We start from the raw sequence: 21460 nt of genomic DNA, 5'->3' as shown, positions 1-21460 counted from the left end.
AACCCCTCTGCTTCTCAAAATGGCCATCTGTAAGAGAGGAAGAATATCTTCTGCCCTGAGTTGCTGTGATGGTTACATGAGATATAAGACTTTCACCTCTTGTTCAAAGAGTGGAAAAGACTTGTGTCTCTTTCCTCCGTTCTTTACTTGCACGCACCCATAGGTGATTTCAAACGAGTATAGACACTCTCTCCAGCCAGAATGAACTCGCAGTGTCATCGTAGTAATAGTTTAATAACAATCTCCACTTACTGAGCGCCTTCTGTTTGCCAGAACTCTGTCTGTGACTGTGCCCTGTATCAGATATGCGCCCCTAACCTAAAAACTGCCTCTGGGTTGCTGAACAAACTGACAAGAAGAAAGTGGGAAGGCGTAGTTGGAGAGCTAGCTGGAGAGAACACAGGGAGGTGGGATGGTCTCCTCACCACCATTCCTCCGCGATGAGGAAAGCAAAAGAGAAATAAGAGGAAAGAGGTGGGAAAGAAAGTTTTCGATTTTGCTAAAACTTTTAGCTTGGAGGGCACATGTCAGAGCACCTTTGGATCGTTTCAGCTGGAGACCCTTGACGGTCCCTAACCCAGAACCGGTCCAGCATATAGTAGAGGCTCAAATGATGTGCACATCTGTAGATGAGTAACATCGAGGCTGTGAGTGGCCCTTCTGTCCCCAGCATGTCTCCCTTGGCTCTGAGCAATGCTTTTGAGGAGGATGGCACTTTTGTGGGCTTTAAAAAAAAATTATGCAGATCTATTCTAATTTTTAAAAATCTCTTCCTTTCATTACATTTTAGCTAATAGGCTGTCCTCCATCACCTCTGGAGCTGCCTGGCAGCCCTGTCATCCCTTGTCTCAGGTCACACACTCTGTCCTCCATGTCCTCCACGGTGGTCATCTGGAACCAAGCCAGGGGAGTCCCGTTCCTCTTAAAATTCTGAACGGAATCTTGAACAGTACCAGGACGAAAGGAAGCCCAGGGCTCAATGAGCAAAGAGGAAAAAATGAAAAGTGAGAAATGGTGAGGACATACAAAGCAAGGGAGAGTGAAGACCAATGGATATGGGAAAATTCAAATTACAGGTGACATTCCATTTAAAAATTGTGTGTCACACAGCAAGTCTTTAGTTTGACTCTTTCTTTATAGCTTTTCACCCCCATTTTTTTCAGCTACAAAACTGTGCTCTTGGCCTGGAAGAGTAGTCAGCACAGGCTGCAGGGTCCCTGATGGAGGCAAGAAAAAGGAGACCTGGCTTAGATCGCTGAAGCTGACCCAAAGTGGCCTCAAAGAGTCATCTCCTGGGCGCTCCCGACCGGCAACCGACTGACGTAGCGATCAGCTTGGGGGAGGTGGGGGCCAAGGGGCCCGCGCTGACCGTGAACTGAATGAATATTCGGCGGGCAGGTTGGGGATCCGAGACCACGGAAGACCCAGGACCTTCCTATGCTACACCCAAAGCCATTGAGAACGGGGCGAGACCCTGTGACCCCCGAAGGTAGGAGGCCTTGGAGCGAGATCTGAGCCCCAGACCACGAGAGCCTGGCTGCGTAGAGTCTCAGGGACACCTCTTTGGAGGCGTGCGCGGCCCGCATTTCAGCAGGTAGTGAAATTCAACAGTGGCCGGATTGTGATGACGGATGCAAGTCGGGACTGCCAGATAGGGGATCCTATTCGCTCATTAGTTCATTCTTTTGATCTTTCGTTCACTTGCTCATTTCTTGAGCTTCTACCACGTGCTGGGTGCACTCGTCACGCGGATTCTGAGAAACAAAAATAAACAGCCCCGACAAATTAAAACGAGGCTAAAATTTGCAGACTGGGAAATCTCTGGTCGAGGACAGTGGGGATTGAGGGTGGCTAGGGAATTCCGCAGAACAGGCACTTTTGCTCCGCAGAGAGAGGCGGCGGGGTGCAGACGCACTAAGACCAACTCGCCTAGCGTTCTTACCCGCTCTGCGGTGCTCTTCCGTGTTCCAAGAGAGGCTCGGGCAGATCTTAGCGCTCCGCACCCCCGCATAAGTGAGGGACTGGAGAAAGCACAGAAAGCTTTGGACTTCTGTCCTGGTTCTTGACGTTGACCACTAGGGAAGTGACCTTGAGTGAGTCATTCAACCTCCCTACCAGTTGGTTTCCACCTACAACGATGCCCAAATGGTACGCAGACCAGAGTTTCGGCCGCCTGCATCGAGTCCTGCTTGTGAACGCGTTCTCTTGCCTCTCTGTGATGACCTTAGCATCGGGGATCCTAATGGGTCCTCGACCAGATGATTCGCAGCTCCAGGTCCACTCCCGGGGTTACTACCTGGTACTTCTGGGTCGTGTTGCACAGCCTCCTACTGTGTTTATAATGCTACCTACCCTGCGATGCTATAAATAACCACAAGGGCCACAATAATTATACTTGTCGTTCATTCAGTAAACACTTTTGGGGGTGCATTTCCTGTGCCAAGCACTGAGCTAGGTGCTAGAGCTTCTCCAACCATGCAGCAGAGTCCAGCCCTGCTCTCAAGAAGCCGAGGGTGCCTTTTTCCTCGAAGGAATCGTTAATCTCCTGTTTCCGTTTCGAGGGCCCTCCCTCATTGTGATTAGTTAAAAACTTAATAAAACTCCCCAAGTGCTATTTGTCCCAACATAATCTCAACAGCTGGAACATAATTTTCCCTTCTGTGCCCCTGGACACTTGCTTAAGCTTCAGAAAACTAAGTATCAGAAAACTAACTTCTTCCTTTCTAACTCCCATGAGTAAGTCCCCACCACACCCACAAGCATTGTATGGCCTGCCTGCTGTGAAATTTGCAGACTGAGGTGCTCCTGTGCATAGTGCCAGGAGCATCAAGATGAAGAAGGCCTTCCAAATGCAGCAACCCCTGACCTAGCCAGGCAGCACATCCTAACTCTCTGGGCTACTCCTTAAAGGATTTCCTGGTGACAAGGCATCCTCATTTTCATCTAATGATATAATTTCTTGGAGAGTAAAGGTTGTCTTGCATTCTTTTTTTCTCTATGGTGCAAACACTCACAAGGATCCCCATAAATACTGCAATGAAAAAAATGAATGGATGAAGGAATGCAGTAACATCGAAGCCTATAGCATTAATTGTATACCAGCCACTGTTCTCATTTTGGCTTTTTTTTTTTAACTGTCATGAAGTCTTACACCAATTTATGAGTTACATACCTTTGATTATATCCCATTTCACCGAGAAAACAAACCAAGTGATTAGATGAATTTTCCAAGGTCATGTAGCTAGTTATTGGTGGGTGAGGGAATGAATGAATGAATGCCTCTGGGGTTAGTTCAGACCTCCTATGCTGGGCTGGGATCAGGCCCGCTTTTTCCTGCACACTCCTCCTGCCGGTCTCCTCGAATAACCCCCCCAACCCAGAGAGTCGTTGAGGGTCTCCAGAGAGGCAAGTTCGGAGCGCATGTCAGGCGATGCTGCCGCTGCCACTTCCAAGGTCTCTTTCTGGTTCCTCGTGTGTTGCGCAGGGTGGACTGTGCTAGAGGTGAGGCTTACTATCTGCCATGGCTTCAGCTGAATCTGAGGCTAGAGGAAGAAACAAGGATCCAGCGCAGGGGCTGCCACGCAGGCATGATTGGGCCTCGATCTCCACATTCTGCCCAGAATCCTAAGTGTCAGCAATGATCAATGGAAGTCAAAAAGCACCATGGATGTCGCTTCCTTTCGTGAGCACAGTGTGGCTGGGATCCTACACACTATTAGCAAAGCTAACATTGCTATTAGGTCAGTGCAGGGTGGAGAGCAGGGTATCAACCCAATGGAGTCCCAGACCTGCGACTCCCAGACCCCTCAGGAACCACCAAGGGGAAAGAGAAGGAGCTAATGGGAGCCCAACATCCCAGGCAGTGGTTGAACCTCATGCTCTTTTTGAAAACCTATTGAGCTTTGATAATTTGGATCAGAATCTGGTTGCTCAGGAGTGTCTGGCACCAGCTTTCATGTTCCTGTGTACTGCAGGAGGCCCTGACACAAGGCCCATCCTGGTCCTTGCACTCACTCTCCAGGGCACCTTGGGCAAGTATTCTCACATCTCTCAGCCTCTGTTACTTCAACCCAAAAACGAGGAAGTTGGGAACAATCATAACTGTGGAGACTTCTATTCCTGATTTCTAAAATGACAGGGGGCAGAGACAGGGAAGGGATTAAAGGGCCAGGGGTTCTCTAAGCTCACCTGTCCTCAGGGCCCAGGGATCCTCGTGGAGGCTGCTGCTCTGTTAGAACCTGAGTTGAAGGGAATCTTAGAAAGTGCTCCCCACCCTGTGTAAGCAGTCTGGATTCCCCAAGAGTGGCTGGCAGAGGGTAGGCACTGTGGGTTGTAATATCCCAGTGTGTGAAGGGAAGCTTCAGAGAAAGCCAACTAGTTTGTCTTTGGGACGCCAGCCAATCTCATCATGACCTCAAAAATGGAGGCTGTGAGCTAGATGAGTGCATGAGTTAAATCAAAATTTCGGATTTTAAAAAATCTTCCCTAGCCCAAATACCTGTAGTTAAAATCCTCCTTAAAACTCGCATCTTCACAAATACATTGGAGTGTGCAATCAGTCCTTTCCAACTCACAAGGCTAAAGAAGGAGAATGTGATGTCCCAGCATGTTTAGGGTCCTCTTGGTCATCTTTAAAGCGGTGTCACTACATCACGTGGGGGAGGGCTGAGCTTGCCTACTTTTTCTTCTTAAGGGAGGAAGAAGCCGGAGAGGGGACTAGGATGCCTGAAAACGATGGGAGACTGCATCAACCTCAGCCTCTGACTTCTCTTCCCCCGTTTCGTGCTCCATCCAGCCCACTGAGAGTCTCAGGTAGGCGTGGGCTTGAGCAGAGGTGGGTTCAGATCTGTGGAAACAGATTAAAGCTCAACAGGTTAAAGCTCAACAGATCAAGTCAAGTCCAGGTGCCCGCAGAAAATCCACTGCTACAAGCCCTGGTTTCTACCACACCCCTCTCCTGACTCCGAAGCTTTCGTTGGCGGTTGCCTTCCCAGACAGGAGAACCCAGGTTTCACTCTCCTGTTTCTTCGGCTTCTGACACCTTGAAAAGAAGCCTAGGCGCTCTTACTGTGCCTGCCCTGCGCTGGCCACAACCTAGTTCATCCCCTGCCAACATCAAACTCCAGATCCTGGGTAGAGAGGGCAGCCAGAGAAAAGATCCCAGAGTGACTGGAGTTCCTTTATGGTTGCCTCTGAGGTGCAAAGGATGTCAGAGGGATTTGTGGCAAGCAGAGTCTGAGCCCGCCTACAATCCACACGACTCTTTGCAGGGAGTAGAGGGAGAGAAGCGGGAAATCTCCCTGGCTGGTATAATGACCTGAGCCTCCCTTGGAAGCAGGACCTCGCCTGGACCTGCCCCGGGGGCTGACGACTTTGGCCTCGGGCGGGGGGGTGGGCACAGGAAGGCGAGGGAGACACACTGCTCGCAAGGATGTCTATGCCCACTCTCGACTGAAGCGGGCAAAAGGGAGAGAAACGCGGCGCCAGCCTTCAGTGGTTTAGTCCGCGGAACTTGGCGCTAGGCAAATTCTCTGTGGAAACAAGCGCCCTACCCACCCACACAGGCTGAATAAGGCGGCAGAGGCTCCTCTCTGCTTTGCCATATGGAGGAGAATGGGGAAATTTATTAGCGTGGTTTTACCCGCAAAGTGCTGAAATAGCCAGTATACTGCCTGTCTCTCGTGTGTCTATATGAATCTGCAGGTCTGTGTGCGTCCACGTTGGAGGGGATGGGTGATGGGTATTGAGTCCCTACCCCCGCCCCAAAGGAAACGCACCGTGGTCACCATCCCTCTGTGAGCCTCTGTGCACCTTGGTAGCCTTTTTCGGAGGGCTCCGCGCAGCGGGGACTTCAGCGGGCTAGGCAAAGCTTTGCTCAAAGAGCAATCGCTGGCTGGAGTCTCGGGTTGTGTGCAGGAGGGGCGGGGGCCGCGGCTCTGTTCTGCTCTGCTCTGCTCTGCTCCGGGGCCCGCGCGCTCTCCTGCTCCAAGCCTCAACCCTGAGCGGTTCTAGCGCCCCGCACGGTCCGCGCTGGGCCTTCTCTTCCGGGTCTGAAAACTCTAGGTCTTGGTTGAAGAATTTCGAGCTGCTTGGCCGCCTTTGCTAGCATTTTGCGCTGCCAAGAAGACCCCAGTACCCGGGGTCGAGAGAGCAGCCCTGGGATGGGACTATCCGGCCAAATTTTAGCCTTTCCTCCTGGCCACCTGTGGCTACCCTTCTTCCAGATGAACTGTAACTTTTCCGGGGCTTGTGATATTCCGATTCTGATGAAATGTGGAAGAACTCCACTGCTAGGGTAAAGCCCCGCAAGAACTTCAGGTGATAACTGACTAGGAACTGGGGGTGGGGGTGGCGGAAGCAGGGGCGCCTCCTGCGAGCACTAGGGTGGTATTCGTCCTTCTGACTCCCGCCCTCAGGCGCTCACCCCCCCGGCTCACTTCATCCCTGAGCCCCCCAGCTCTGCCGTGCCCCCTGGCCTGGCGAAAGGTGGCCTAAATAAGGCAGAATTCTACCTGAAATCACATCATGACATTCCCCGATGATGATTTTCTTCACGTTCAAAGCCCCGGGGCCAGGGCGTGGACCTACGGTCTGGGTTTGGCGGTAGCGGAAACCTCCAGGGCCAGGTGAGGAGCAGGGGAAAGTGCGGTTTGTATAAAGCATCCTCCCCACCTTTCTTCCCTAGACTCCGCTCCTCAGCTAAGTGTGCGTGCCGACGCGTTATTCTCCTTAACGCCAGAGCTGGATTGAAGCACCTCAAAATTCGATGTGCTTGGGATATCCTGCTTCCAGAATTTCGATATGTGGGGTCAGGGGAAATTGATATCGATAATGCAGACAAAACTGAGGTACAGAGGGAATCCTGAAGTTTGGCAGCAGAGCCTACAGAAGGCTTGAAGAACTATCCCAGCCCTGGCCCGCACCCAGGCCAGGTGGGGAGGCTGCCCTGGCCTGGAAACTCTTGTGACACAATTAGGGATAACAGCTAGTTCATGTTCCTATTGAAGATGGGGTCCCTTGTGGTATGCTCTTTCTTTTCTCTTGACTAAATTGTACATCTCTGATCATTCTGCCCCTACTCCATTCTCACTGCTCTTGAATCATCTCGATTTGGGGACTTAGGGGGTTGGCTGGGTCAGGAAATGATCATCTTTGCATCCATGTGTTGGCTTTGGGACTTGTTATCTGTATCTTGTATCTGGCTATGCAAGTGTAAGAAGGCTCAATCTGCTGCCTCTACTTCACCCCTGGATGGAAAAGTCGAGAACAGAGATCCTGGAATGAGCTCCAGGGGAATGTCTAAAAGTGGAGGAGATAAGCAAGACAGAGGACTGCTGAGAACTTTCCCACTCTGGCCAAGGGACTGAGGTGTGTCCTAGGCTCTCTGACTTCAGCACCTCTCCTCAACTCATTCTGAGAACTGGCCACCCCGCCTGGATGCTGGGTCTGCCAGAGACCTTGTGTCCTTCACTTGCTCAGTGCCGAAGAGATTGGCACTGAGACTGATCAGGATTTCCCAAAGAAATCTATTTGCTATAAAATCCCCCCAAAGAGCTTTTAGCAACTCCAGACATTTCACAGTTACAAGCAGGAGGACAGGTCCTGGAGAGAGGTTTAACTTTTCACCTTTAAAAGAAATAAACAAACAAAAAATCTTTGAATTGCCCATCCTAGTAGCAGTGTCAAGGTTTACTACATATTTTCCAGCTGCAGTGGGATGGGGAAACTGCCTCACGACTCTCAGCAGCTTTGGGGAGAAAGAGCTCATCTAGGCACCTCCAGTGGCCAAATTGCAAAGGAAAATTTTTGCGTGGATGAGGGAATGGAGGATGCAACTTCATAGTTCTATCCGTGGCCACATGTAGGCCAGGAAGTCCAAGTTCTGATCTGGGCTGTGCCTCTGCTTCACCTTGAAGAAGTCACCTCTTTGTTTGGCATGTTTACAACCAGGGCCCTGGCACTCTAAGACCCAAGCTTCCAGCTCTAACCACTGTGTCATGTCTGTCCTTTCCTCAGCAACATTGCAAACCTGTCCTCTACCCCATCCCGGAACAAGGAAAAGTTTGTGCAGGGCTCTGGGCCCGCGCTTCGCGTCCACATAGTGATTACAGCTGTGCCTAGATTGACCCCGCCTGGCATCACTGCCTTCCCCATTCCAACTCTGAGTACTCTAGGAACTCATTTCGTCCATACTGTGAATGGGGAAACCATCTGTTGCACTGGCCTAACAGTTTCTATGGCCTGCTCCACTCTCAGGCTACTCAGGGTCTCAGAGGGCACTTTCAGTGGCAGTTGGCGCTAGAAATCTCTTAATTAGAAGCCTCTAAACCCAGACGCCCATCTCTGATGTCTGTAACAAGATGGCTCTGAGGTTGAGCCACTTCCCCTGAAACTCCAGCCCCACCACCTTCAGCTGCTGCATTCTACAGTGTCCCCGGGACTAAGGTCCGGTTGTAGATCTCTGGCCTTAACAACCCCCAGCAAAGCCAAGCGGCCTTTACAAACCGTAGTAAACATTTTATTTACAAATTTAAGGCGTCCTAAGTGCCTTTGAGCCACGACCTCTGGGGCGAGTCAGAGAAACAGTTTAGTCAAACACCTCACAGTCGAACCAGCCTGCTTCCGGAGAGAAGTGTTCGGCTGGCTAGCAGGACACTGAGACTCCCCTCTGCTTTGGGCAGTGTCCGCTGCAGCCAGTCGGAGCAGCGTGGGGCGAAGCGTGAATGTCGGGAGGTAGGCTCCACGCTGCGTCTCCTGCCCTACCAAGTCGCCAACATACAGTAAGCACAAAACCCAGCCCATGGTTGGGAGGCTGCACGCAAGGCCCGGATCCCCTCCGCCCTAGTACAGTCTATAAGCAGCCAAGCGCGCCTTGGGCTGGCTCGGGGCTTTTGGGAGCGCTGCTGGCTGTGGGCTGTGTTGCAGGGAGAAGCTCCGAGGCGCCGCCGCCGCCAAGGCTGCTGGCGCAACCCGCACTGGTGCTGCTGCTACTAAGACTGCTGGCGCTGCTGAAGCTGAAACTATTGCCGCCGCCGCCGCTGCTCCCACCACTCCCAGCACTGCTGGCGGTAATGAGGGCGCCAGTGACCGGGGCCTTAATAACTGTTGTTTGGTGCAGAGAACGCTCACTCCCCTCAGTCCGCTCCGTGTCGCTGGGGGCCATGTCCAGGGACTCGGAGTCGCTGCTCTCGCTCTCAGCCTCGCCTTCAGAACGGCTGGGGCTCCTCTCGTCCTGCTCGCCATCCGCAGCCGGGGCTCCACCTGATGGCTTCTCGCCAGCCTCCTTGTCCTTGTCCTTTTGGGCCTGGGCCTCCTTGGAGTGCCGCCACTTCATCCGCCGGTTCTGGAACCACACCTTCACCTGCGCCGCGCCACACCGGGAGACAAGAAGAGACACCGAGATGAGACCCAGGTTTGCTCCTATCCGACTCGCGTGCACCCTCAAGCCACCTCCCTGAGTGAAAAAGCAACGCTTACTTGGCGACTCTACCAAGGACCAGACACTGTGGTAGGCGCAGGAGCCAAGGGGCAGCCCAGGGGAACACAAGAAGCCAGGAATCCTGGCCTAGGGAACCCACTAAGACCGTTTTCAAAATGCAACCCTCAGGCCCCAGGACTAAAATGACCTGAGTGACTGTTGGAAAGGCAGATTCCTGCACCCGACCCCCAACATACTCTCTCTCTACTCTAAATCCATGTAATTTTTTTATGCCAGGACCCCCATGAGAATCTGATTAAAGTTATGGACTCCTAGCCCAGAAAAATACACATATGCCCAAGATATTGCTTACAATGTCAAGGGTTTGGTGTGCCAGTGTTAAGAATTCCTGCTCTAAGTTGGCCCTCTCCTCTACTGCCACTACCCAAAGCAATACTTTTTTCAAAAAAGGAAACATGGGAAGCAGAAAGGGAAAGGGGTTTTAAACTGTTAATCACAGTAGGGTGGGGGCATTGTTGGGCTTTCAGTAAGACAGCATTTCTTTGGTGTGTTTGTACGCAAGAGCTGATAAGGACCTTGCCCCTGTTAAGGATAAACAAATTCTCCTGGGGGCTCAGAAAACAATGGAATTAAATGTGTGCAAAATTAAGGAAGGGGATAGAGATGGGGCAGAGAATCTATACAGATATATACGATCCCCTGGGGGACCCAACGCATTCACACAAGTTCCAGCTTCCCTTTTAAAAATAACATCCACAGCTGGTGGAAAACGGCTGGGCTCCTCGTGTGTGTGTGTGTGTGTGTGTGTGTGTGTGTGTGTGTGTGTGTGTGTACTGGGGAGAAGAGTTGTGTAATGGAGGTCAGAAAGAAACAGAGACAGCAATTTGGGGACCAAGGAGCTAAGAAAAAGAAGCCTGCCTCTGGCTTCTGACCTGCTGGGGAAAATCAGCACCCCAGAGCCAGAGCCAGTGCTATGGGGTGCACAAGAGTGACTCTTCCACAGTCAAAGCTCGGGTGGTGGGGGGTGGGGAAGCCCAGTTCTTAAATTTAAGAAAAAGAATAAAATTATTTCAGCCACAATACATTTCCTATTGTCTTGAAAAAATTCAAATAGGCAGAACCTGCTGAAATGCTCTTGGGTATTCTAAGAGAATCATTTTTCTTTCTTTCTTTCCCTCACCTCTCCCCTTCCTTCAGATTTTCTTCAGAGCCTAAGCCTTGTAATGTGTGGCCACTCCAAGCAGACTCCCTGCCCTCCTGGAGCTAACTAATTCCGTTTGAAATTATATTTTCACTTCCTCACAACTGGGGATTTCACAATCCAGCAGAAGCAGCAGGAGGAGGAGGAAGGAGGGAGGGTGAGAGGGAAAAAAACCCAACAACAATCTCTTGCCTTTGGGTTTTTATCTTTTCTGAAATAAACTGCCTCCTACAGCGAATTGCACTACAGTTGAGTGTATCAGTGTTATTTCCAGCGGCCCTTTTGCTTTCTCCGTGGTTCTTTAGCCTGTTGGCCAAAATAAACATGCAGTGCTTGTTGACACACATCTTGGGGATGAGCTCTTCTCTCGGTCCTTCTCCCTCACCCCATCTCCACCCTCCTCTTCTCCTGCCTCAAGTTGCGTAGTCCACAAAGCCTCTTGAAAGTCAAGATCTTGCGTTTGCACCGCAGGAGGCCAGTCGGCCGGGATGGAGGGGACCTACCAGACTAGGCCGTGCGCTGCTGCCCGCCCGAGGGCGCTGTGCGCTGGAGCCAGAACTGCCTTACCTGTGCGTCCGTGAGGCCCAGCATCGCCGCCAGCTGCTTTCGGTCCGGCTTGGTCACGTACTTCTGAATCTCAAACCTTTTCTCCAGGCCTTTCCTCTGCAGGTTGGAGAACACAGCGCGCGACCATGAACGCTTCCTTTTGTACGTCTGCGGCATGGTGTCCTTCGTGAGCACAGCATAGGGACCTGCCGCAGAACGGGAGCCAGAGGGAAGAAAGACAAGAGGGCCGTTCAGTGTCCAGTCCTTGACCTGCCAGCCTGGGGGTCCCCGTAAGGCTTGAAACTGTTTCGTGTTAACTGTCGATTCCACCCTCATTCAGAAAGCCCTTCGCACATACACCGAATGGCCCCTCTAAGGAGGAATTTTACACGACAGTCGGAAGACCTAAAGCGAGCGTGGAGTGGAGAAGCCTGGCGGCTTGTCCTTTAATTCCAAGAGAAAAACATAAACCTCATGCGTGGCCATCAGGCCTACGAAGAGTAGACAAAAATGTCCCTTGGGCCTGAATGATGACAGCCCTGAATTGAATTATCTCGTGTGTGTGTGTGTGTGTGTGTGTGTGTGTGTGTGTGTGTGTGTGTGTGTTTATTCCCGCATGTGTCCAGGCACCCAGACATAAACTCGCCAAGCACAAGTGTTTGAGGTCATCCCAAAATGTGTATATGCTAATAAGCAACATTGATGCTGCATTTTTCAAGCCCTCTGGGGCGAAAAGACTTCGAGAAAGCCCCCCACCCCACCGTCCACGCACACACTTTCTGGGATCTCCAGGCGCCTCTACCCCTTTTCAAGGGGAACCATCCGAAGCGAGCGCTAGCTCGCTGAGAAATCTTTCGGTTTCTCTCTCCTGACTCCGTAGCCTCCCGCCCCAATTGTGAGATTGCGACACCGTGGCAGCCCTGGAGGCGTCAGTCCTGAGATTTCTGACTGTTAGTCGGCTCGCCCGTTAGGCAGTACTCTGGAGTTTTTCCGTACCTGGAAACGTGTCTTGGAACTGATGCTGAACTGAATTTCTTGGGTTCGAGTTTAAGGGACTCAGGATTGCAGAAGCCTCGTTAATGGGATCTAGAGATGCGAAGAACTGGCCGGCCGAGGGCTGCAGGCCTGAGAGGTGCACCCCGGCGGGCCGCCCACCGGTTAGCAGGGAAGTGAGATCTGGGGACAAGGGAAAAGGATAGCAGGTTACATCTCGGGCACACTCACACTCTCCGCTGATTTGTTCCTCCCCTTCCCCTTGCCCTGGATTCACTTTTATTGAGCGAAGTCAAGAGAGAACCCGTCTAGGCGCTGAAACCTCTCTCTCCCAACAGTTGCCAAGGAGCGACGCACGAAAAGTTCCTGTGTGTCCCTCACGTCCATATGCATGTATATAGTAAGTAAAGGCTTTACATAAATCGGCTTACGGCCTCACTTTCACGTGTCTTCCAAGAACGCCACAGACGCAAAACCTCCGCCCCAAGGTGGCCCCACTCTGCCCGCTCATCTAGGCGGTTTTGTTTATTATTTACATTTCCTGGGTGAAATTTTTACTAGAAATCAGATAAGTGCGAAAGTGTTTCCCAAAAATGCTTTAGCTGTCAGAAAATATAATTCTGTCTCTAGATACATTATTAAAGAGATCAAAGTCATGTTAGCAGATAATTACACCAACCACTTTTATAAATATTGATTCTAAGACGTGTTTTTAAAGAATCCCTGGAGTCATTTTTTGTTTGTTTTACATAGAACAGGTGAGTTTTAGACCTAATGTTTTGTAGTTTTCTTACAATTCGTTTTCTTCTCTCCCGTTTTACCGATTTGTCCTTAATTGTAAAAACACTCAAAGGCACCCCAAGCCAGCCCGGGGTCCGGGGAGTGGGTCAGTGGTCAGAGGCCTGCAGCCTCCCGCCCAAGACCTACCTCTCAGCGTGTTGCCTTCTTTGACTTTTGGGTCAAATTCTGCAGATAAAATGCGGTCAATTCCAAATTTGAGGTCTTTGCTGGAGGGGGCCGGGGCAGAGCCACTGTGGTGGGGGTTCGGAACCACTCGCGTCCCCGAGGCCGGGGGCTGCAGGGCGCCAGCCCGGGGCGGAGGCGGAGGCTGTTGCTGCTGCGGCTGTTGCTGCTGCTGTTGTTGTTGCGGGTGATGGTGGTGGTAGGCGGCTGAGAGCGGAGACAGCCGCTGCGGGAAGCCAGCCGGGACTTCGGAGGGCGCCACCACTGGGGTGGGTCGAAGCGGGGATCTGGCCGCCGCTTGGAAAGAGGCGTGCGGGTGAACCGAGCCCAAGTGCGCGGTGAGGGCGGCGGCCGAGGCCCCTGCCAGGCCCTCCGGGGCCGCCCCCAGATCCCCCACGCCGGCGTGCAGAATGTCTGCGATGCAGAAGGAGGGCTTTTTGACGGCGGCGGGGTCCAAGGGGAAGGAGCAGCCGCCTGGGCCGGCCGAGGAGCAGTAAGCGGCCGACCAGAGGCTGAAGTTGGAGGCGTAGAAGGGAGCCAGCCCGGCTGCGAACATCCTGCCGGGGTGAGCCGCGCGGCTGCCGCAGTCCAGCCGGACTGGGTGGGTGGGCGCGCGGGGAGGGGCGCGCGAGTCCCGGAGAAGGCGGCGGCAGCCGAGGACGATCCGCTTTCGCTTCTCCGCCCGCACTGAGGAAGAGAGGCCGGGAGCCCTAGCGCCACCGAGGGAGGAGGCGAGGGCCGGATCTCGGCCGGTCACCGCCTCGCTCCCTGGCCTCGCTTTAAAGGCGGCGCGGCGCCCGCACTCCTCGCGGGCTGGATGAGAGCGAGGGGCGCTGGGGCCGCAGGGCGGGCGGGGGAGCCAGGGAGACGGGAGCCGGACACCGCAAGAAAACCCAAATAGCTAAGCCCTAAGAGCTAAATTTAAAACAACAACAATAATAGTCCGTTAGTTAGGGGGGGGGAAAAGTAATAGAAAAAAAAAAAAACTCGTCTCTAAAAACTCCCAAAGTTTTGGCAGGAGCTTTCGAGTCAGGCCCGGGGTAGGACCTCGATCCGAGCGCTCATTGGTCATCCTCGTGACCAATGGGAGCGGGGAGTGGAGGGGAATTAGGAACAAGGGGGCCTGGCCGGACCCTAGCCACGCCCCGGCCACGCCAAAGTTTTTGCTGCGGCCGCGTGGGCTTAGTAGCGCACATCGCAGTGCTTCTTGCTACTCTGCGTAGGGGCCAGGCAGCCGCTCCGGAGGGCTCTGACTCTCTTCTAACTTCTGCAGCTCCGAACCGCCACGGGGCAAGGAGGGTTGATCACAGGAGCTTTCCTGAAGCGCTTGTCACCCGGGGCGAGTTGGGGGCGTGGGGAAGGGACGGTAATCTCACTCTTTAGGGCTCTGCAAAGCCCGCCTCCCGGTGGAGAGCGGAGCGCGCTTTGGCCCCTTTGCTTCCCTTCTCTTGACCTCATTCTGCTTTTATTCCAGGAGTCCGTGTCCTCGGCAAAGCCCCTCATCTTTCCTGGGCCCTTGCCCAAATGTTGCCGCCCTGAGTCCCGGCCCAACTCAGCACCGCGTCCGCCTCGTGCCTCCCAGGAGATCCTCCGGGAAGCGAGGAGGAGGGGCGGCCGCAAATTGGTTTTATTCTGAGCTGTCACACAGTGACAAATTGAACGAGTGACTTTTCAAACAAAATAAGACGGATGGCTCCAAACGTCTCTCTTAGACGCAGCCAAACCTTTCCCCGGAGCCTCAGAGGCTACAAAACAGGCTGCCTCCCGAAACCCGGGAGAGCGGCACGCGCTTCCATCCTTTGCAGGAGGTTGTAGGAAATGTTAGCCTCACCCCTCCACCACATCTCCGGATCACGTGGGGTTCGTTGTTTTGCAAGTGCCCACAAGAGCAGATTTCCGTGGGGTTCAATACTGCTTTCAATTCTGTGACAGCTTCCCCAGGAACCCCTTGGGCCTGGTTGCAGGAGGAGCTGCGTGGTGGTCAACGTCTTCCATTCGTGCCTTGGGTCTTTAGAACGCAGGGTAGTGGTGGTGGAGGTTTTGTGCAACATCGACATATCTATTTTAAGAATTTCTTCTCTTTAAATTATAGTCAGAATGAATTTCCCCACCCCTCTCCCAAACAAACCACAGGCCACCCAGATGAGCTGTTCTTGCACATTTTCAGGAAGAAAATAAAATAATACGAATAATGAAACCACGAAAACTTTTGTTTTCGATTGCCCTAATAAGCATCTCCTAACAGGGATTCTGTGACATTTTTATTTCCCTTCAGCACGAAGGCTCCTCACCAAATAAACCCAGAAAAGCAAGTGAACTTGCCATGCCTATCTCGAGTTCAGGGTTTGGGCTTATAAAATTAATTTCTGGTGTTTTCTCTAGCCCCTTGATGCAGATGCTATCCTTTTAAGCTTTTGACTTTCTCCTGGAAAATTATCAATCACTTCTGATCAGCCAGCACTAAGATCTCTCCCTCTCCCTCTCTCTCTCCCTCCTCCCGCCCTCCAGCTCTCCCGCTCTCGCTCTCCATCTCTCTTTTACTGAAAGGTTTTCTTCCCCTGCTCCACGCAACCAGGAGAGAGGTGCTATTTCCAGAGATAGATGGGTGTGTTTGGCTGAAGGTAGGGGTACCTGGGGCGAGAGACGTATTAAGACCAGTTTTTCTGTGTCAAGGTGAAGGCAAAGGAGCGACAAGTACAACATGGGCAATTGAGGCGCTGGCTGAGGGTTCTGGTGAGCCTTCGGTGGGAGTGTGCGTAGCGGAGGCCGTGAGCCCTCTGCTTTCTAGTGCCACTTCCAGTTTGATTGCGTTTCTAATTTGACTGCAAACATTTAGACCTCAGCCTAAGCCCAAACTCACGGTTGTGAAAGAGGTGCATTTACTCCTTACCCGAGGCAGCGCCGCGCGCCCTCACCCTCTCTCTTAAGAAATAAGACTCCCCTATCAGCTTTCACCCTTTCCAAGGTTTGCGACGCTCCGGGGTGGGCACGGGATACAGACCCGGGGGAATGCGAGTCCTCAGGGTTCCCTAGGTGCCCACAACTCGCATCTGCCGAGATTCAAGGCCCGGAGCGCTGGGCAGATGCGGCGAAAGCGAGGCCCCGAGGCCCGCCGACTCCTCGCGGCGCCGCGAGCCTCCCTTTCTCCGCCAGGCCCGCGGCTGGAGTGCAAGTTGCAACTTCGCCTGCGCGCCCCTTGCTCTCCCAGGCCTCAGCTTCCTCGCAACCGCGTCGGCGCCATCCAAGGCCTTACTCCCAGCTCCCGGAGGCAAACGCGAAATACAAGTCTTTGGAGCGACCCCCGCCGCCCCCTCTACCCCTTCCCCAGGCCCAAGCCTGGCCCCTGCAGGCCCCTCGCCGAGTTCTGAGCCCGCAGACTCCCGCCCTCCTTACTCCCCACTCTTCAGAACCAAGAAAGCAGCAGGAAACCCTGGGCTCGCCGGAGTTCAGGTCATCTCCTGTTTTTTGATGGGCTCAAACTCGGGACTAAATGAGCGGATGTGCCTGCGAGATTGGTCTCAAAATAGAAGCGGCCTTAGTATTTTAGGATACTGCAGAAATCCTTATTTCTTCCGGAGAAAAACTCTATAATGACTCCTAGCACTTCCCCTTTCAATATTTGTGCAACTTTATCTCCACCGGCAAGTTGCTCGGGTGACGCAAATCCGCCCTTATGTATTACAACTACCAAAATAAATGCACGGAAATCAATTCCCTTCTAGCAATGAAAATATAAATATACAGCTGCGACTTTCCCCTTTAATCTTTGCTTTCCGAGAGGCTCCGGGCTGTGGCGAAATGAACTGGCCCAGAGCTACTGAGCCGGGCAGGGAGGTCCTGGGGGTAGAGGCGAGGGCTCCCCAGGGGCTGGTAGCCATGGGGGTTGAGAATTTAACAGGAAAGAAAAGGGCCTGGCTAAACCGAATTAACTTGAGCTTGGTCTACGCAGCGGAGACCCTAACTGTGGCCTCTTTTCTTTGGAAAATATCGCATTGGCTGGGGTTTCTGATCATGCTGACTGCTGTTTTTAATGCTTTCAACTCATCCCTTCACTTTTCCTAGTTAAACACAGCCAAAGACGATTTCACCATATTGGGAATGGATAAGATCAGAGAAGGTTCGTTTTATAATTTAACAATATAGCTTATGGGGATTTAGGGTTTAAAAGGGTCCTGAATCAGGGGCTTATGCAATGACTGAGGCAAGAGATGGGTTTCACCATCCTTTGGTTCTACCTGTCTTTGGAGCCTCCATATTTAAATCATCAGTGCAGACTTTTGTCCCAAAACCAGAGTCACAGATCCACACTGAGCACAGGTCAATTATAGTGAATGCTGGGCCTTGTATATTACAGGACCATAACTCTTCAAGGACTTGAACTGGCTATATCTGCTATCTGTGTTGCTTTTTCTTGTGCATTCTGGGTAAAATAATGTGCAAGGCAGTTGCTCTGTGGACTTCGGAACCCCTCTCCTCTTAATTTCAAATATTCTTGCAAACATGGTACCTACTGGCTTCAAGAAAAGAGATGTAAATAATTAAATATTTACAATCAGAAAGAAAAAGAAACACAGCTTATCCAGCTACTTGAGAATTCAAGAAATTTGCAGCAACGTAGGAATCTGTGTATATTGTGCCTGTCTTTCTGCCAGCTGGAGACTTATGGATCACTGGTCCCAGCAGTCATACTTAGTGGTGGATATGGGAGTTCTGTTCTTTGTGGGTGCCAGATACTAGAGATTAGGACTCTAATGATCCCCCATAGACACACCCCCTACCCACACACGCATACTTTGGCCTATTCTAAGTAGGACACAACTCTCTTTCCTTGGAGACCTTAGAGTTATTCCAGAATTTCTGAGTTTTTGAGAAGAATTGGACTTTGCTATGGGGTGGGAAAAGCAAATAATGCAATAGGGCTACAAACATCCATAGCTATTTGATTTATTCTTTTTCCTTTTCTCCATTTCCCAGATGTGGCAGATTTGCAGGTGGCCAGCTCTCTATTTGGCTGTGGCCCTGCCCTTGAACTTTATCCATAGGTCTTGCTCCAAAGTTTCAGACAGCCTTTTGGCTCTGATTCCATTTGCCCTTTCCTCTCATAGGGCTTCTCACATATTTCCCTTCCTCACTACTAAGATATACCACTTTACATATATGTACCTCTCTCTCTCTCTCACACACACACACACACACACACACACACTCTCTCTCTCTCTCTCTCTCTCTCTGGGAATCTTAGAAATGTGGAGGGGAGGGGAGGCAGGCAGTTTGGGATTTGCTCCTGTTTCAAAGAGCTGCTTCTCTGCCTCTCCAAGTCATCCTCTCTACATCCAGCCAAGAAAGACCCCAAATCTCATAAAACCTATGGCAGAACCCATTTCAACATGGCACATTATAACAGACTCATATACATTTGCAATGAAATCATAAGAGTAAAATATGAGAGACTATCTGTAGCATATATGAGCTTACATACTTCATTGCACGGGCTTCTATTTAGTAGCTGTAAACAGTGCTCTCCCACTTCCCATACATTAGCCACTCACCTTGGATTTGTTGCCTGAATTATTGAATCTGAATGGCTGGTTGTTAAGGTAGGAGAAGGAGGAGTAGGTGAAAAACATATATCCAAAACAGACAGGGATGAAAGGCATTCCCAAAGCAGTATTTCTCTAAACAAACAAATAAACCTTCTTCCCTGTGAGACAGGTTTTCAAGTTAGAGCACAGGTTCTAGGGCCAGAAGAGGGACTCAGGCCCAGACTAAAAAACAGTCATGGGAAGGGATCTTCTGAAGGGAGAGGATCCTGGAGCCAATGAGAGGGATTTTGCAGATAAAGCCAATGGGTTGTTGTCCCCATCTCAGTGGTCCCAATCTGCCTACCAGCACCCGCCAGAACTGGGACAGCCCTGGATTTAATGACGGAGTCCCCCCAGCCCTGTCCCAGCCCACCAGGCCCGGGCATCTCCCTCCCTGGAGGAGCCCACCTAGTACTGAAAGTTGGTTCTCTGCTGACACCTGCTGGACCATCTCTACATTGTTTTATGGCAGTAACCATCCTGTGCCAGCAACATTGTTATGATGAAAGTTGACTCTTCCTTTTGCAAAAATGCAGGTTTCTAAAACTGGCTTTGACTAGCAGCTGTTTCCTTCCATATTGCAACAATATGGGAAGATCTTGTATTGTGTGCTTAAAATCACTAGACCGGGCAAGGGAAGCAGTCATGGTTCAGGAATAATACTGTGTACATTTTACAGATCTCAAGGTCAATTCACATTTATTATCTCACTTTTTTAAAATAACCAACTGTAGGATGCCGACGAGGGATTATTATCCCATTTGACTTTAGGAAGTTGATCCTCAGAAAGGTTAAGTGGCTTGCCCAAGGTGACGTAGTTGGGAAATGGTGTTGGAGGGAACAGAGGCTAGGTTTTCTGGTTCATCAACCGGTATTATACCATCCAGCCAATTTCTTCAGGGGAAATGGTTTATTCAGAGGAAAAACTCTCTGCCCTTAATCAGAATGTGTATTGATTTCAAACAAGGAGCTGTAGAAAAGAAGTATGTCTAACTCAGACACACTTCCCTGTCCTGAAATTTCTTTCTCTCCTCAGCATTAAATGTGGAGACTTCCTTGCCTCCCAGTATCATGCCACTTGTTAAATTCTAGTTTGGGCATCTACCCAAATGAGGCCCAAATTTGATTTGGGTGGATGCTCTAAATCAGAATTCAACAAGTAGCATGATACTGTGTCCAATTCACATCTGCAAATGAAAATAAATCCCTCAGTTTATATTCAGTTTTGTCTTTGCACTAATAAAAGTAAATCATTTTGACTATTTAAAATATCCAACCAACTAGATGCAGTTTGCCTAGGAAGGCATTTATCTAAACCTTCTCACCCACCCTCCTTGCCCTCCATCATAACATCCCAGTCACCTTTTTCCGTTGCAGCTGGAAAGCAGTCTATTTTGGTTGCCATCAAAGCCCTGACTTCAATCTCTATGACCCTCTGGATCTGAGAATGCCTCTCAGCTTCCAATGCTTCATCGCTCTCTCTAGTATTACCCTCATCTCCCCACCCTACACTTTTTCCCACAGCAGCCATGTGCAATGGAGATTTCCACAGGAAGCATGACATGTGAGGTGCTCAAGAGGCAGGAGCTTAAGAAGCCTGTGAGCAGATTTTAAGAGGTTTCTATGCAGACCCCAGAAGCAGGCATCCTTGACAGCAGGGAGCCTCAAAGCAGACATAGTGTTCCTTGTTATTCTGGTCTGCTGGAAAGTAAGAGGCTTTCAGTTGCTCTCCTCACTCCTTTGCTTCTCTTCCCTCCCCTATAACAAATATGATTTTAGTCATCAAGGTCATATAGAATCTTCTGAAATTTCTTAGAATTTTTCAAACTTACTGCCAACCTCCCTGGTTGAGAATCTCCTTTCTTCATGCCTAGATAGAGAGAAATGGTGAGTTCTAGGGCCATGCACTCTGCTAAGCACTCTACAGACATTATCTCATGTGATTCTAACTTTTTTTATTCTTTATTTTTAGAGATGGGGTCTCACTGTGTTGCCCAGGCTGGTCTCAAACTCCTGGCATCAAGCGATCCTCCCATCTTAGCCTCCCAAAGTGCTGGGATTACAGGCATGAGCCACTGGACCTGACCCTCTCTCATGTGCTTCTAAAAACAAGCTCAGGAAGGTGCTATCATTATTTCCATTTTACTTGGGGGTAAGGGAGGCTTAGAATGGTTAAGTAACTTACCTAAGGTCACAGTAAGTAGGGCACATTGGATTTGAGGCTGCATTTTTAGCCACTAGGCTCCTTGCTCATTGTTAATGTTTAATTTTTGTGTCAACTTGACTTGGCCATGGGATGCCCAGATAAACATGATTCTGGGTGTGTCTATGAGGGTGTTTCTGGATGACATTAACATTTGAGTTGGCAGACTGAGTAAAGCAGATTTCTCTCCCCAGTGTGGGTAGTAGGCCTCATCCAATCCATTGGAGGCCTACATAGAACAAAAAGCTGAGTAAGGAGAATTTACTCTCTCTACCTGTTTTCAAGCTGAGATATTGGTATTCTCCTGCACTGGGACTGGAATTTACACCATCAGTTCTCCTGATTCTCAGGCCTTCCATCTCAAACTGGAACTACACCATCAGCTCTCCTGGGTCTCCAGCATGTAGACAGCAGATCATGAAACTTCTCAGCCTCCATAATTGCTTGAGCAAACTCTATAGTTAGCAGGAGATCCCAGTTTCTGCATGCGGCAATGGCCTGCTCTGTGCACATGACTACCTACCTTTCCTGAC

The 21460-nt window shown here is 50.9% G+C and overlaps 1 protein-coding gene and 1 long non-coding RNA gene across 2 annotated transcripts in view, besides 4 other annotated features; one reads left to right on the top strand and one right to left on the bottom strand.

Annotated features, from left to right (window-relative positions):
* Positions 840 to 1385: an enhancer, noted in NCBI's record as "H3K4me1 hESC enhancer chr1:221065513-221066058 (GRCh37/hg19 assembly coordinates)". NCBI's record gives its function as "activates a minimal SCP1, AML or CMV promoter by ChIP-STARR-seq in primed H9 embryonic stem cells {active_cell/tissue: H9 hESC(primed)}" and the evidence as "EXISTENCE:reporter gene assay evidence [ECO:0000049][PMID:30033119]".
* Positions 1386 to 1931: an enhancer, noted in NCBI's record as "H3K4me1 hESC enhancer chr1:221064967-221065512 (GRCh37/hg19 assembly coordinates)". NCBI's record gives its function as "activates a minimal SCP1, AML or CMV promoter by ChIP-STARR-seq in primed H9 embryonic stem cells {active_cell/tissue: H9 hESC(primed)}" and the evidence as "EXISTENCE:reporter gene assay evidence [ECO:0000049][PMID:30033119]".
* Positions 8497 to 14113, bottom strand: HLX (H2.0 like homeobox). The gene is made up of 4 exons (NM_021958.4): positions 13107 to 14113; positions 12183 to 12362; positions 11208 to 11392; positions 8497 to 9361 (listed from the first exon to the last, which is right to left on the bottom strand). Exons 1-4 carry the CDS (start codon positions 13696 to 13698, stop codon positions 8852 to 8854), a joined length of 1467 nt encoding a protein of 488 aa, NP_068777.1. The 5' UTR covers positions 13699 to 14113; the 3' UTR covers positions 8497 to 8851.
* Positions 12780 to 13388: an enhancer, noted in NCBI's record as "H3K27ac-H3K4me1 hESC enhancer chr1:221053510-221054118 (GRCh37/hg19 assembly coordinates)". NCBI's record gives its function as "activates a minimal SCP1, AML or CMV promoter by ChIP-STARR-seq in naive H9 embryonic stem cells {active_cell/tissue: H9 hESC(naive)}" and the evidence as "EXISTENCE:reporter gene assay evidence [ECO:0000049][PMID:30033119]".
* Positions 13416 to 21460, top strand: part of HLX-AS1 (HLX antisense RNA 1) — a 47378-nt gene continuing 39333 nt past the window's right edge. Inside the window, exon 1 of the long non-coding RNA NR_046901.1 lies at positions 13416 to 13707. This is a non-coding gene — a long non-coding RNA (HLX antisense RNA 1). The remainder of the gene's footprint in view (positions 13708 to 21460) is intronic.
* Positions 14507 to 14556: a silencer, noted in NCBI's record as "silent region_1827". NCBI's record gives its function as "represses an Ori minimal core promoter by ATAC-STARR-seq in GM12878 lymphoblastoid cells {active_cell/tissue: GM12878}" and the evidence as "EXISTENCE:reporter gene assay evidence [ECO:0000049][PMID:35858748]".

Source organism: Homo sapiens, chromosome 1 (genome assembly GCF_000001405.40).
Source record: "Homo sapiens chromosome 1, GRCh38.p14 Primary Assembly".
Lineage (NCBI taxonomy): Eukaryota > Metazoa > Chordata > Mammalia > Primates > Hominidae > Homo > Homo sapiens.
Note: the sequence above shows the minus strand (reverse complement) of the source record. Positions and strands in the feature narration are given on the sequence as shown.

Coding starts and splice junctions, on each gene's coding strand:
- HLX (NM_021958.4), bottom strand. CDS start 13,698: ATGTTCGCAGCCGGGCTGGCTCCCTTCTACGCCTCCAACTTCAGCCTC. Junction 12,363..13,106: donor AGAAGGCAACACGCTGAGAG/GTAGGTCTTGGG, acceptor CCTTGTCCCCAG/ATCTCACTTCCCTGCTAACC. Junction 11,393..12,182: donor GTTCCAAGACACGTTTCCAG/GTACGGAAAAAC, acceptor GTTCTGCGGCAG/GTCCCTATGCTGTGCTCACG.